The sequence below is a fragment of the Homo sapiens genome, chromosome 5 (assembly GCF_000001405.40).
Source record: "Homo sapiens chromosome 5, GRCh38.p14 Primary Assembly".
Taxonomy (NCBI): domain Eukaryota; kingdom Metazoa; phylum Chordata; class Mammalia; order Primates; family Hominidae; genus Homo; species Homo sapiens.
Window position 1 is genome coordinate 6663426 of NC_000005.10, and position 14069 is coordinate 6677494.

The 14069-nt window shown below is 43.3% G+C and overlaps 1 protein-coding gene across 4 annotated transcripts in view; it reads left to right on the forward strand.

Annotated features, from left to right (window-relative positions):
* The window catches only part of SRD5A1 (steroid 5 alpha-reductase 1), a 40947-nt gene extending 29986 nt beyond the window's left edge, over positions 1-10961 (forward strand). For all 4 annotated transcript variants that reach the window (NR_136739.2, NM_001324323.2, NM_001047.4 and 1 more), the window contains one exon: positions 4777-10961. Coding sequence is in view for 3 of the 4 variants with exons in the window: in NM_001324323.2 (NP_001311252.1) it covers positions 4777-4843 (67 nt within the window). In the remaining variant the exon portion in view is untranslated. The remainder of the gene's footprint in view (positions 1-4776) is intronic.
* Positions 10962-14069: the final 3108 nt, after the last annotated feature.

Below are 14069 nucleotides of genomic sequence, written 5' to 3' on the forward strand. Positions count from 1 at the left end.
GGCTCTGAACCTGGGGTCCTTAATGGGCTACAGAAGCTCTGCATGCCCCCTAAAATGACATCATTTTCCAGAGACCGGGTCCTTGGCTTTTATCTGATCCCCCAAAAGGCTTGCGAGCCATTTGACCAACACACTCATAAAGAAATCAAAGGGACTGGGCGCGGTGGCTCATGCCTGTAATCCCAGCACTTTGGGAGGCCAAGGCCGGTGGATCACTTGAGGTCAGGAGTTCAAGACTCACCTGGCCAACATGGTGAAATCCCGTCTCTACTAAAAATACAAAAATTAGTCAGGCGTGGTGGCGGGCGCCTGTAATCCCAGCTACTCGGGAGGCTGAGGTACGAGAATCCCTTGAACCTGGGAGGTGGAGGCTGCAGTGAGCCGATATCGCACCACTGCACTCCAGCCTGGTTGAGAGAGTGAGACTCAGTCTCAAAAAAAAAAGAAAAAAGGAAAAGAAATTGAAGGATGTCAAGGCTGAAGTGAATTTAGAGAACATCTTTCTAATCCAATGGATGAGGAAACTGAGGTTCAGGGAGCAGAGTCTGAGGCCAGCCAGGAGCCCCATCTCATTGACGGGAAGAGATCTCAGGAGCAACGTGGGATCTTTACCTGCCCTGACATTGGCGCGTGTCCCTGACAATAAATGATGGAGACTGGGCTTAGCAAGCGGCCAGCCTGGTATGCACATTTACTATGTCCCCTGAGCCACCCACTTCATCCACTCAAAACATCTAATCGAAATCTCCAATGCTGCTGATGCTACGAGGTGCAAAAATGTATAACTCTGTCCTACTTCATGGAGTTTATCATCTTTTTTGGGACTAAGGACAGAGAGAAAAAGCTAAAAGAAGAATAGATTGATATGGTATAGTGGGAAGAGTACCTAGGTGTACTTCCCAGCCTCACCACGAGTTTGCAGATGCAAAGGATGATTATTGGAGATAAGAAGAAGAAAGGTCATATCTGAAGTATCTCTTTGTCTAATTTTTTTTTTAAGACAGCATCTCACTCTGTCACCCAGGCTGGAGTGCAGTGGCACAATCTCAGCTCACTGCCACCTCTGCCTCCCAGGCTCAGGTGATCTTCCCACCTCAGCCTTCCAAGTAGCTGGGATTACAGGCATGCACCACCAGGCCTGGCTAATTTTTTATATTTTTTGTAGAGTTGTGGTCTCACTATATTGCCCAAGCTGGTCTTAAACTCCTGGACTCAAGTAATCCTCACACCTCAGCCTCCTGAAGTGCTAGGATTCGAGGCGTGAGCCAACGTGGCTGGCCTCTTTGTCTAATACTTGAAGAAGTGATAGCATAAATGTGAGCTCTAAGAGCAGCGCCCCGCATTCTTCGAGACACTCCATCGTGCCAGTGGCCTGGTATTTTCACGCATAGACAGTGAGGAGAGAGCGAGATCAGAGAGCCACGACCTACCTAAATCCCAGAGCTGCTGAGAAAAACAGAGGGGTCTGCGGAAAGTTGAGTGAGTGCCGAAGGCAGAGAGGGTTTGAGAAGGAGGCTCAATGCCAGGCATGGCAGAAAACACTGTGGGCCAGGAATGGGCCTTCTGTGCTGAGAACTGTGTCTGCCAGAAGGTCATATGAGAGTCCTAAGCCCTGGCACCTGTGAAAGCGACCTTACTGGAGAACGTTATCAGTTGAGATGAGAAGGGGAAACGTGGATAGACGTACACCAGGTGATCACACAGAGTGGGAAGGCCATGCGAAGATGGACACAGAGGCGGGGGCGATGCAGCCATGAACCCAGGAACACGTGGTGCCACCAGAGCTGGGGGAAATGGGACTGGAACCTTCCCTGAACCTTCAGAGGGAGCGTAGCCCTGCTGCCACCTTGATTTCCAACTCCTGGCATCCAGAACTGGGAGAGAATCAGTGGCCGTTATTATAAGCCACCCAGTGTGTGGTTAACTTTGTTCTAGCAGCCACAGGGAACTGATACGCCAGCCTTCCAGCCATTTAAAATTGACTGGGAAAGTAAGGGCAGGAGTATGATTGGTGAACCCCTCTGTTTTCTCCTCCGCCAGATGACTTTGTTGTCACCGGTTTGGTTGAAATACAACGTTATCTCTCTAAATATACATTCTACAATCTGACTTCCTCCCCTCTGCGCCCGCTGCTCCCAGCACTGCACCTGGCCTGGGCCTCACTTCCCGGTGAAGATGCCATCCTTTTATATTCCTAATATTTGATGTGAAGAAGTGAGTAATGGCTCATTTCTCATTAAAAGAAACAAATGAGATAACACTGACGTTTAAAAAAACACGGATCAGAGTAAGATTGAACATGGGCACACCAAGTCAGTGGCAAAGATGTTTTCTCAAATGAAATCAGGAAACAGGAAAGCCCCTCTCAGTATTTGAATATGAAACATATAGAAATGGAAAATAAATAATTCAGTTATCTAAATGAAAGTCTTTGCTAATGAAAACCCAAAGATAGTCTTTGCAGAAGAGTTCATGAGTTGAAAGAGCTCTTTGTCATTCATTTGCTGTTTAAATTGGTGTCAGTGTGAAACCAGTTTTAAGCCCTGAAGAATTAATCAATTCAGTTTTGCAGAAGTATGTTCAGAAATGTAGGACTTACAAGCTGAGAATAAAATAAAAACTCCTTTTTAAAAAATATTTTCATAAACCCAACTAATTAAGCCATCAAATAAAAGTATTCCAAAAGAAAACATGCCAAGGATCTATTCCTTGCACTCCATTTATAATGTTCTTTTTTTTTTTGAGACAGTCTCGCTCTGTCGCCCAGGCTGGAGTGCAGTGGCGCGATCTCGGCTCACTGCAAGCTCTGCCTCCCAGGTTCACGCCATTCTCCTGCCTCAGCCTCCTGAGTAGCTGGGACTACAGGTGCCCGCCACCATGCCCGGCTAATTTTTTTGTATTTTTAGTAGAGACGGGGTTTCACCGTGTCAGCCAGGATGGTCTTGATCTCCTGACCTCGTGATTTGCCCGCCTCAGCCTCCCAAAGCACTGGAATTACAGGCGTCAGCCACCGCGCCTGACTGGATTATAACGTTCTAAAAACAAAATTGTATTCAATGAAATCTTTCTATAATAATCAGTATTTAAATTCATAAATGATTGCATTGATAGTTAATGCATTGATTTCTAGGTCAGAAACAGTCAACTGTGCTGGGTTGCTAACAAATATTCTCTTAAAGGGCAAAATTTAAAGGTATTCTAAGGAGTAAGAAAAATTTAATCATTTAAAAATAAATATTTTATTTCTATATAATGGTTTCTGTGAAATACACTTAACCTCTTCAGCCAACATCCCTTCATTGTGTGAGAACACCCTGACCTCACACATGTTCTTTCTGATGTCACGGAGCCCAGCCTTGCTGCCCAGCCTGGTGGGGGGGCGCGTTTTCTCGGCATCCTGCGGCAGTCCTGTGTTTCCCATCTCCCACCTGCCCTCTCGTGTTTGCCCATTTCAGGCTCTCCTGCTGTCATGTACTCTGCCCTTGCCTTTTCGGGCCAGGGTGCCCATCTTCCCACGGGCAGTTTCTGGGAGAGAGGCGCTCACCTGCTATGTCACTGTGCGGCGGCCAGTGCCGCTGGCCCATGGGGAAGCTCTTCAGCACTTGCAAGTGCTGGATGGCCTGGATCCCAGCAGGCCTGTGAACACCTTCAGCCTCTAACCAGCGAACATGTTTGCAATGCACTTTCGCAGGTTTGACACCAGCTGTTAGGCTTGGCCACGTTGTGTGTTGGGCACTCGTGGGTCCATGCGCCACCACTGAGCCACGTAGCTGGAAAGGCTGCAGTCTCGAGGCCTCATGCCAGGGGAAGTGACGCTTGATCCGGAAGTCCTGACCGACTTCTTAGAATTGTTCTTATTACATGCCTTTTTGGGGACACAGAACATACAAAAGTAAACGTGGCCGCCCAGTATGTTCGAATTCTCTATTTGTGGATTCCGGTGTTAAACTTAACTAAGACCAGCAGGGTTTTGCCAACTCCCTCTCAGTTTCTCGTCCTCATATGTTTCTACCACATTAACAATGAGCTAATTGCTTTCTATCATGATTTTTAGTCTGTTGTTTAATCTTTCTGTGTGTGTTTATAGAAACTCCCTTTCTCCATCTTGTCAAATTATTTCTAATTTTTACTCCATGCACTTAGTTGCCACCTTTCCCAACTGGCTATTATCCCCAAAACAAATGAGCACGCCTGCATTGATACAATTTATATCAAAACGGAAAATAATGTTTGTTTCGAGCACAAGGCTGAATGGTGGACAATGCCATATTGCATTTCCCCAGATTTCACCGAATCCTTACTAAGAGCGTTCATGAGCCTCCTGGTATGCAGCTGGGTGCCCACTCTACACACCCTGGGCTAGGCCAGTAGTTCCCAACTGCAGGCTGGAGAAAACTGCTGGAGTCACCAGCAGGTATTCAGGAAGCACCTACTTGGTCCTGCCCCTCCTCCAGCCTGCATGCTTTCCCCGGGGGCTGAAAAGACAGCTCCGCAATGTGCTGATCAGTATTTTCATCAAATGTCAGTAATTTTCCTTCCAGATAGAAAGGTGAATTCTATGGGCTACTTCTTCTGAATCACACTTTATGATTAGATATATTTAATTCTTCATGATAATAGGCAAAATTAAACTATAAGTATGAAATGCCAAAGTTTTTGTTACTACATTTAAAAAACTGAGTACTCTTTTGTAATGAAAAATATTGTCACTTTTGTTAGCATTGGTTAAATGTCTAAGCGACAGAATTATTTCCTTTTTTAATTTTTTTTTCTTAGGTGGTACCTCCGGAAATTTGAAGAGTATCCAAAGTTCAGAAAAATTATAATTCCATTTTTGTTTTAAGTGCGTTTTTCATGAAATTATCTTCAACTTGAAGCTTTCCAATGGCGCTTCTCTATGGACTTTGTAAATAAGTTATATCTTTGTAATTTTCCTGCTACTTTATCATTTTCAAGATGTCCTCTAGGAATTTTTTTTCTAGTAATTTTGCAATCTACCTAATAAGTACCTAAATACGCTGAAATGGAGGTTGAATATCCTACTGTGTAACAGGTCAGAATTTCAAGCTCTGGGTAATAACTGCTGATATTTTTTCTAATTTCAAATTTACCTCTTTTGGCTATGTCTTGCCAAGTGTGTATGAGACTAGACTTTACAACTGTCTTTGATGGCATTTTCAGAACAATAAATGTCACAATCCCTTCTATAGCCCCCTACAGTGATCTCTTCAAGGTCAACTGCAGTGTTGCTTCCCTCCCCCTATAGGGCTGGAATCTGTCTAGGAGCCCTCTCTCGGAGGCCACAGAGGCTGGGGGTAGCCATTGTGCAGTCATGGCCCGGGGGAAACTTGCCAACCTTCGTGTCAGGTGCTGTGTGTAAGTGGAGAACTTGGGGATAGAGGAGGAAGCTCCTCGTGGCCCTTCCAAGGTGAGGCAAAGGCATCTGGACTTGTTCCAGCCCAGCCCACCGGGTGACATCACCGGGCAGGGAGGGGTGCTGGTGGTGGTTCATACGGAGTAAGCTGCTCTGCCTGTGTGAGTGGCTCCTGGGCCCTAAACAGGCACCTTTAGGCCATGGGTCACTCACCGTGAGCCATCAATGTGCTCTGGTCTGACATGGTTTCTCTCTGTCTTCTAGTCTAGACCTAGTTTTTTTGTTCTGTTCCCCACGTATGGATATAGTAGAGATTGTTGTCTGTGAAATTTCTCTTTTGTAGATTTTGAGTTTTCCCTTGTAGTGTAAAGAATGATCACTTTCTGTAACAATAACAAGACCACTTTTTAAGATTTATCCTGTTTGTTCTTTGTTGATTGAAACATAATAATTGTTAAAATTCTCTACAGCCTTCTTTTTCTTCCATAGCTAATCTTCCTTCTAATAGTTTTTGCTTTCTGTTTTGCTGTTGTTGCTTTGCAAAGCTTTCCCCTCATAGCCTGTACCTGTTATCAATATAAAATAATCTTCCTGTTGAATGCTTCATGACTTGAATTCTACTTTGATAAAAACATTGCCATACTGCTTTTTATCTTGATGAATTCATCTGGCATTGCTTTGCCTTATCATCTCATCTGGAGTTTTTAAATGCCATTTGTTTCAGTTGTCTTTAACAACATAATAAATAGACTTTGCCATTTAACAAGGTAGCTCAAATTCTTTTACTAATTGTTACATCGAAACATTCTTTCATCATATTTCCTGTTTTTATTTGGTTTTTTCAACTTCTTCTGTTTACTATCTACAGTGATTTGGAAAGGAGATTTCCTTTAAAACAAACAAGCTTATTGGGAATGGCTTTTATGATTTTTAAAGTAGCCTTGAGAGCTTCCAGTTAAATCTGATGAGCTGAACATACACCTTTCCTTCTCCCCTCTCTATTCTGACCCCAGTTGAAATCACCTCAAAGGAATTTAGGTGGGGGAGTGGCCCCATAAAGAGAGTGAGAGAGAGTCACCACTGCAGATGGACCACAGCACGGGTGGAGATGGGCCTGATGTGGCAGAGCAGAGAGGCCATGACAGTGCACACCCTGCGGAGACCCTGGGTCCTCACATCTGGGCTGACAGAAGGCAGAGGGAAATGAGCATCTCAAAGTGAGACCAACTAAACATGGCGCCTGCAGCAGAAAGCAGTGTCCTCTGCACCCCCACTCTCCAGGGAGAGCACAGAGAGCCCAGAAATGAGCCATGTGCCCATTGCCGGGGAAGAGAAGGTAGGCTGAGGAGGTGGCCTTTCCTAACACAAAAATTAACTAAGTGGGGAAAACCAGAGAACTAGGTGTTGGCATCCCAGGAAAAAAATAAAGTCTCCACATTTTGGCCTATAGGGATCCTGCCCCATAATGGCTGGTTACCTCCTGCCTCAAGCTGCAGGGAAGCCAGGGGGTGGCATGGCCATGGCTTCTCCCTCAGAGAGGCCTCTGTGCACGACTTCAGTCACCCAACACTGACAGAACTTGGAACCCAAAAGCCCATTTCTCTCCTTCCGTCCAGACCCTGTCTGCTGTTATCTGTAGGAAGACCACAGCCAACTGCTATCATGACCAAAGCTAAAATCCAATGAGGCAGAGAACAATAGTTGTACCCATCTCCTCCTTAGTCTCCAAGGCCAGCGGTGCATGCATTTGTGCATTCAACAACATTTGCCAAGCACTTACTGTATATCAAGCACAGCAGTGGGTGCTGAGGACGGATGGGTAGAAAAAACAGTCCTGGCCCAGGTGGAGTGACAGGTAAGAAACAAGTAAGTAGCTAAAATAATGTTAGGTAGAAAAAAATAACAAGAATAAAAGCAAGGAAAAGGGAAGGGACCCTCACTTGTGTCTGATACAGCCATAATCTTCTCTATCGGCCATTGCTGTAACCAAAGCTTAACCACCTTTCTTAAGATATTGATCAACCAGATCATTGCAAATACTGCTAATTGATTCCTTTTTATGGCTGAGTAGTATTCCATTGTATATATATATATACCACTTGTTGACTGATGGGCATTTGGGTTGGTTCCACGATTTTGCAGTTGTGAATTGTGCTGCTATAAACATGTGCGTGCAAGTATCTTTTTTTGAATAATGACTTCTTTTCCTCTGGGTAGATACCCAGTAATGGGATTGCTGGATCAAATGGTAGTTCTACTTTTAGTTCTAAGGAATTTCCACACTGTTTTCCATGGTGGCTCTAATAGTTTACATTCCCACCAGCAGTGTGGAAGTGTTCCATGATTGCCGCATGCATGCCAACATCTACTGTTTTTTGATTTTTTTGGTTATGGCCGTTCTTGCAGGAGTAAGGGGGTATCGCACTGTAGTTTTTATTTGCATTTCCCTGATCATTAGTGATGTTGAGCATTTTTTCATACTTTGTTGGCCATTTGTATATCTTCTTTTGAGAATTGTCTATTCATGTCCTTAACCCACTTTTTGATGGGATTGTTTGTTTTTTTCTTACTGATTTGTTTGAGTTTGTTGTAGATTCTGGATATTAGTCCTTTGTCTGATGTATAGATTGTGAAGATTTTCTCCCACTCTGTGCGTTGTCTGTTTACTCTGCTGACTGTTGCTTTTACCATGCAAAAGCTCTTTAGTTTAATTAAGTCCCATCTATTTATCTTTGTTTTTATTGTTGGAAACTATTATTCTAAGTTAAGTAACTCAGGAATGGAAAACCAAACAACCTATGTTCTCATTGATATGTGGGAGCTAAGCTATGAGGACACAAAGGCATAAGAATGGTACAATGGACTTTGGGGACTTGGGGGGAAGGGTAAGGGGGGGTGAGGAATAAAAGACAACATATATGGTATAGTATATACTACTCAGGAGATGGGTGCACCAGGATCTCACAAATCACCACTAAAGAATTTACTCATGTAACCAAATACCACCTGTACCCCCAATAACTTATGGGAAAAAAAGATATTCATCGACCTATTCCAGGTCCTCTCTCCACCACTGAGCCTCGTGGGGACATAAAGAGCTGCCTGCCCTCCCCTGTTCCCCTTGCCTTTTTGCAGCAGGATTCCTGAAAATGTTGACTTACAGATACGTTTTTGAGATATGAACGTTTGTTATTTCCTGGTGCTTAGGGAAGAAAATAATTGATGTTGTGAGTTGGGCGGGACTTTAGGGACTATGCTGAACAATCCACTGACCACTGCAGGCTCCCATTTATGATCTTGGGCCAACAGCCACCAGCCTCTGTTCATGCAGTCTCACTGAGGGCAGTTACTTCTTTGGAGTGGCATGCCTCTGAGCAGATAATTCCAATAATCAATGTCAAACTAGATATTGAAACAGCCCAAGTGTCCTGGTAAAGCTAGCTGTTGATACTCCTGACTGTTGCATTATTTTGTTTTTTGTTTTGTTTTGTTTTGAGACGGAGTCTTGCTCTGTCACCCAGGCTGGAGTGCAATGGTGCGATCTTGGCTCACTGCAAGCTGTGCCTCCCGGGTTCAAACAATTCTTCTGCCTCAGCCTCCCGAGTAGCTGGGATTACAGGTGCATGCCACCATGCCCAGCTAATTTTGTATTTTTAGTAGAGACAGGGTTTCACCATGTTGTCCAGGCTGGTCTTGAACTCCTGACCTCAAGTGATCCACCCACCTTGGCCTCCCAAGGTGCTGGGATTACAGGCACAAGCCACAGCTCCCGGCCCAACTGTTGCATTATTATTTGCAAATGTTGGCTATCCCTGCTGTTGTCTATATATCAATTTTGTCTACCCAACACAGCTGTAAACTTCTCAAGGTGAGGAGTGAGCCATCACTCTTTGCACCTCTTGCTGTGATTGACATGGTATACCTTAAGATATATGTTAATTCCTATGTCTTAATAAATATTGGCTTATGGAGAATTTGTTGGAGCAAGTACAGACCCTATGTTTAACTTCTTTTATTCAACAGAATTAAAAAACTAGCTAGTTCTCTCAATAAAATAATACTTTCTTTTCTTTCTTAAAATCTAGCTGATCTGGTCTAAAATACACATGTGGGAGGCGGGATTGTAGAAATATCTCAAATTAATTAGCGTCTAGCTCTTTGTAAGGTAATTGACAGTCTGAGTTAGTTGCTTCCCCCACTGCAAAGCAGCAAAATCTGCTCTCAAAGGCTTCACGTAGCCGGGAAAACTCCGTTCCCAATTCAGATCCTCTGGGGAGGGCATCAATTATTTCCTATTGTTTTTAGCACCGATTGTTCTGTCTAATTTGAAAGGATCCAAAAAAGGAAATGATACTTGGCATTAGTATCATTCTCCATCACTCTTGAAAGATATATGAAGGGAATGTTGGCGCAATCAGTCTAGAAACATATTTCTCCCATAACAATAAGCCAGTTCTTTTTGCTTTGAATCAGAAATAGCTCCATCAGGCCCATGAAGGAAAGGGAAACAAAACTGAGTGCCAAGCATATGATAACATGCTCAGCATCATATGACATTAGGGGATTGCAAATTGAAACAACAGTACCACCACACACCTATCAGAATGGCCAAAATCCAGAAGACTGACATCACCAATGCTAGTGAGAATGTGGAGCAACAGGAACTCTCATTCACGGCTGGTGGGGATGCAAAGTGGTGGAGCCACTTGGGAAGACAGTCTGGCAGATTCCTAAAAAGGTAAACATACTCTTACTAAACAATCTAGTAGATTTGCTCCTAGGTGTTTACCCAAAGGAGTTGAAAACATGTCCACACAGAAAACCTGCACATGAATGTTTATAGCAGCTTTACTCAAAATTGCCAAAAATTGGAAGCAACCAAGATGTCCTTCAATAGGTGGGCGGATAAAGAAATTGTATCCAATTCTATTTCTATGAGGAAAATCTATTCATACAATAGAATACTAGTGTCAGAGATTTTTTTTTAACAAAGAGCTATCAAGCCATGAAAAGATAAGGAAGAACTTTAATGCATATTGGTAAGTGAAAAAAGCCAGTTTGCAAAGGCTAGATACTATATGATCCCAACTGTATAACATTCTGAAAAAGGCACAACTATGGAGACAATAAAAAGAACAGAGTTTTGGATGAAGGGAGGGATGAACAGGCAGAATACAAACAAATTTTAGGGCAGTGAAACTATTATTATGATACTTTATGGATATAGAATATTATGCATTTTTCAAAACACATAGAATATACAACATGAAGAATGAATGCTAATGTAAACTCTGGATTTTTATTAATAATATTATTTAATTAAAATGATTTATTTTACTTATTTTCATTATTATCTAAAATGTTATTTAATTATTAAATTTAGATGCTACTTAATTTTTGCTTTATTATTATTATGTTAATATCATCAACTGTAACTAGTGTACAACACTAATGCAAGATGTTAATAGGGGAAATCGTGTTGGAGAGAGAGATATGTGAGAACTCTGTACTTTCTTTTCAATGTTTCTGTAAACATAAAGCTGCTCTAAAAAATTAAATCTATTAAAAAAAAAACTGAGTGGAAAAAGAGCGTTTTGCTCATTGGATGGACTTTTTGTCCTCCATGTGATGGAGTCAGCTGGCTGGGCGTAAACTTGCAGAAGGTGGGAGAAGGCTCTGCCAGCCTCGCCCCTGAGGTTTCCATCCTCCCGTGCTCTGATTCCTGGGGTTATGCTCTGTTGCCTCTGGTGAGAGGTGGTCAGTAACTCCATGAGCTGCTTCTGGTGCCTTTGTGCTAGACAGATTTTGCAAAGGCAGGTGTGTCAACCACAACCAGAGGCCAATTTCCCTGGAGTCAGATTTCAGACCACATGCTCCTCTCCTCCTCACAATGTAGTCTCCTCCCCAGGCTGAGCCCTGCCAGAGGGGAGAGTTAGGACTGGTGGGAAGGGCTTGCCCCCTTGGCTGCAGGAAGCTCAGGTGGCACCTTGGGGACAATCCTAAAAAGATGCTCTTCTTCCAGATGCCTCACATCTACCTGTCAGAAAATTGTCACACTGTTCTGATGTTTCAGAAAACTCACTTTCATCTGCTAGAAAACTGTCTAGATAAATATAAGCCTGTGATGTCTGTACCTCTGATGACGTCCCGTAGACATGGTGTCCTCCTCCACCTATTGTCGGAAGGTGGCCCATCTGACCTCGTGGTGGCCAGTTCCCTCCATCCACTAGGACAGGCAGGCCGCTGGGAAGCGTCCTTCTCCACACCCACAGGCCCTGTCCTTGGGAGCCAGGAGACATCTCAGATGACGTACAGAATCCCTTCGTGCGGGCTCATCACGAGCCCTTTGTTCCTTAGAGTAATAGCAAACAAATGTGCTGTTGTTCCTCATTTCCATGTATTTCCATCAGTTAATTGGAAATGGTTCTGCCTGAATAGGAAATTTTTCTATCTTGGGCTTCTTGAATAGAGAAGCTCTGGGGCACAATCCTAAATCTTCAGAGGACAGAGAGCCCACATGCCACCATTCCAGTACTGAATAGCAGCTTGGGTCCTGAGAATTTCCGGTACCCACATTTTAGAGACTTTTTGTCTACCAAAAGTAACAGTTTCATTCAGGACAAGAGGTTATTCAAAAATACATAATTAATGGCCTCTACTGAGGTCTTACATTGTGTAGAGAATAATGCATTGGGAAATGCTAAACTACCTAGTGAACAGCAAGTATGGGGGCAGGGAGGAGGAACAGGCTTCCCTCTTGATTAAATGAAAAATAAAATAATGATGCTTTCATTTTTATTAGACAATATGTCATATACAAAACCCCAATTTTTCTCTTACTAATAGAGAAACCCCATCTTGCTCTTGGAGAGGACTGACTCTCTAGGTCCACTCTAAGCCTGTCCTCCTTCCTATCTCAGCATTTGCTCCACCAGCTCTCATTCAGCACAGAGTCTGGGGCACTGGTGCCATGAAGATGAATACGAGAGAGATCTTAGCCTTAAGGGGCTCATGGCCTGATAAGTGCATAAACAAAAAAATAATTTTTAATACAACACGGTAGGTGCTATGATACAAATTAGGTACAATACACATGTAAGCAGAGAGGGAAATGTCTGATTCTACATGGGGGTTCCAAAGAAATCAGGTGACACTTGAGATGGTCATGGTAGAGTAGGTAATTAGGCAGATATGAGCAGGGCAGCATAGGGCCCCAAAGAACATCAGGTGACTGTCAGGTTACTGTTGGGTGATTGTTGACAGCCAGGGAGCTGGCAATAGGGAGGGGAAATTTTCCTAACAAACAGGAGACATCTTGAGCTTGTGGGCAACAACTTCCCAAGAAAAACTTAAAATGGTGAAGTTTGATCTTCCTCTGGGACATGTCTAAGCATGCACAGTAAGGGGCAAAATGGCAGCATTTGACCCGTATATGACCTTCCTCTGGGGGTGCTAGACCAGTAAGGGAAAATTGTCCTAAGACAGCATGCACATAGCTTCAACCACCAAATGACACACGTGGTCCCTCATACACTAGCAAGTCACTGTGCACTTGGCAATTAGCCAACAGCCCACCCAAAGGGAAAGATGAGGGGAGAAGATTGGGAGAAACTGGGAAATTATAAATAAGAGCCCTGAGCCAACAATCAGGCAAAGCATTCAAATGTTTTGTTGTCCGCTTCGTCCCTTCCAAGTGTACTTCACTTTGCTTCAATAAACTGTCATGTCTGCTTTACATCTACCTCTGTCTCTCGGCTGAATTCTTTCTCCCAAGACAAGGATCAAGGACGAGGGGAGCCCATCCTGACTTGCCACCAGTTAACAGTCATGGCAGAAATAATCCAGAAATAGCTCTAATTATTGCTGATCATTTAATTCTCTTCCTGGACACTCAGGAGGATCACATTTACCCTTATACCCGAGTAGAGCCATGAAACTAATTCTCACCAAGGTGGATATGTGGGCAAATGTGATGTGTGACACTTCCAAGATATCCCATGAAATGTCTCTTACATGCAGTTCTTTCTCCTCCTGTGGCAAATGTGAAGCTACATGTTGGGGACTGCAGTATCCCAAGATGCAAAGAGCCTGGATCTCTGAGTCACTCCACTGCCTGGAGAAGGATGACTCAACTGGAACATCCTCATTAGACAACAGGTGGGTGAGAAATAAACTTTTGTTAAGTCACTAAAATTTGGAGGTCGTTTGCAACAACTGGCATGATTTATTTAATACTATGGAAATTGGTGTTCTGAAGTGGGTTGCTGCAGTAACAAAAATATCTGGCCATTTTCTTAGCAGTTGAACAAGAGGTGGGGTGGAAACAGCATGCTGGGTGACTGGACATCTATGTTACATAGTGACAAGACATCTGGCAAATGGTCATGTGCAGAAACTTGGAAGGCTGACTCCATCACTATAGGCTCATGGCAGTTATTGGATAATGGAATGTTAGAAATGTGTACAAATTGGAATTTATTCTCTTTGGAAAGGCAAGAAATACAAGAAAGAGATGAGCACAGATGTAATTGGCTATTTTGAAAACAGAAAACCAAAGGTAACAAGAGGCCAGAAATTTAGGGCCTTATAGGGTTGTAAGAGGTAACTGCTTTTGGTCCCGACAGTGAAACATGAAAATAAAAAATTATTTGAGCTGACAAAGATCTAGTGAACTTTCTAAGCTAATTAAAGTAAC